General features: G+C 46.5%; 1 annotated feature.

The window, feature by feature from the left end:
- Nucleotides 306–1,505: an enhancer, noted in NCBI's record as "P300/CBP strongly-dependent group 1 enhancer chr1:55894365-55895564 (GRCh37/hg19 assembly coordinates)". NCBI's record gives its function as "activates an origin of replication core promoter dependent on BRD2, BRD4, P300/CBP, MED14 and CDK7 cofactors, with strong dependence on P300/CBP, by STARR-seq in HCT116 cells {active_cell/tissue: HCT116}" and the evidence as "EXISTENCE:reporter gene assay evidence [ECO:0000049][PMID:35650434]".

Consider the following 1,786-nt stretch of genomic DNA (forward strand, 5'->3'; position numbering starts at 1 on the left):
GCTGGGACAAACATTTATTGACCTCCTTCAGGAAGGTCAATTCCTGGCACAGGCTCCCCTTCTTCTACGCCTTTTACCCATGCTATCTCTTCAGCCTTGGAATATCCATCTCCTTTTCTGTGCTTATTAAAATCCTACTTATCGTTTAAAATCCAAGTCGGATGCTGTCACCTCCTTGTAGATGGAGGGTCCCTCCTTGTGCTCCTTTGGGCACCATATGCTTCTTGAGTGTGGAAGCACCCATATTGTATGCAGCTTCAAAATAAGGGTCTAGTCTGTGCCTGAGCTGTAGAGACTTCTTTGTCTGGAGTCTTCCCCTTCTACCAAATCCCCTTCCACTGGGTTTTTTTTTAGTCTTTAGCTCTAAACTGAGCAATGATTTAATCCAGGAGGCCTTTCTTGATGCCAGACAAATGAGACCACTCTCCTCTGTGCTACCTCATCAGAGCACTTCTCATCATTTTCACCAATTGTCTGTTCAATTGTCTTTCCTCCCTGCTGGAAAGTCAGCTATGGGGAAGACAGAAAGCCTGCTTGTTTTGTTTACTGCTGTATTCTTAGTACCTAATCTCCCTCCAGGCCTGTAGTAAGTGCTCAGTAAATACTGAATGAATGAATGAATGAATGAGAGCATCTGGATTCAGGTCTCAGTGCTGCCCCTTATTATCTGTGTGACCTCAGAAAAGTCAATCTCCTAGATCCCTCCCAGCTCTGACATTCTGCTATTAATATTTTGCTACCTCTTTTACCCGGTATCTACAGCTCATGTCCTGGCCCACCCAGCATGAGTCATGCCTCAAGAACCTCAGGCACTCGCTCACTCCAAGGATTTTCCATTCTTTGGAGAACCTTTCACTCTTCAAATATTGTCTTTCTGATGTGGTCCTTGGCAGCGTCATAGATCTCTCCAGCTCACGCAGGTCGGGTCCCTTGATGGGATCAGGCTAGGTCAGCGTAGATGCCTTATCTACTCACTCTGTTCCTGGAAGTCTGGGCTTTGTGCATTCCCATAAAGGGCCCCAGAAGAGGGTGGGATCTGAGCCCGTGATGGACCATGCTGTATGTTGGTGCAGCCCAAGGGGAGGGAAAGCTGTGACTCAGTGTTTGTAAAATGTTAGCTTGTGGAGTGAGTAAGACCAGACCAAGGCTGACTGTTTTGGGAAGTGGTGAGTTGGGTTAATTGAAATTGGAGCCCAAAAGCCAAGGTCAATTCCTGCCATGGTGGCTCTCACTTCCTAGCTGTGCCCTATTACCATGTAATTTAATCTCTCCAAACCCCAGTTTCTTTATCTGTGAAATGGCTACATTAACACCCAGCCTACTCACCCCCTAGCAAGATTTAGAAGTGCTGGAGGGCACATATTTTCATATGGGTGCATATTGAATACATACTATATGACACAAACTTCATATCTGTTATTTAATCGAATTCTCAGAACAGCCCTGCATGGTTGACAGTTCAGATAAGATTCTGGCCTCAGCTCTGGGTTTCAATACAGCAATGTTTCCCCAGTTGTGTGTTGGATCACACCTTTCCGCTGGGCACGCTCTTTCCCACCCGAGGTTAGGAAATATAGGTTTTTGTGGTCAAACATGTTTGTTTAATCCTACATTGGGACCCACTGGTGTACAGTAATTAGGATTTAAAGGGAAAAGATCTAGCCACCCCAGAACTCTCAGTCTTATGCTCAGCAGCCTGGAGTTGGGCTCCCCAGTGTTTCAGTTGTTAGGCAGGGCAGCCATCCCCTGCAGACAGGGCTCCGTCTGTGATGCCTGGGAAGGGGCA

This window comes from Homo sapiens, chromosome 1 (genome assembly GCF_000001405.40).
Source record: "Homo sapiens chromosome 1, GRCh38.p14 Primary Assembly".
Lineage (NCBI taxonomy): Eukaryota > Metazoa > Chordata > Mammalia > Primates > Hominidae > Homo > Homo sapiens.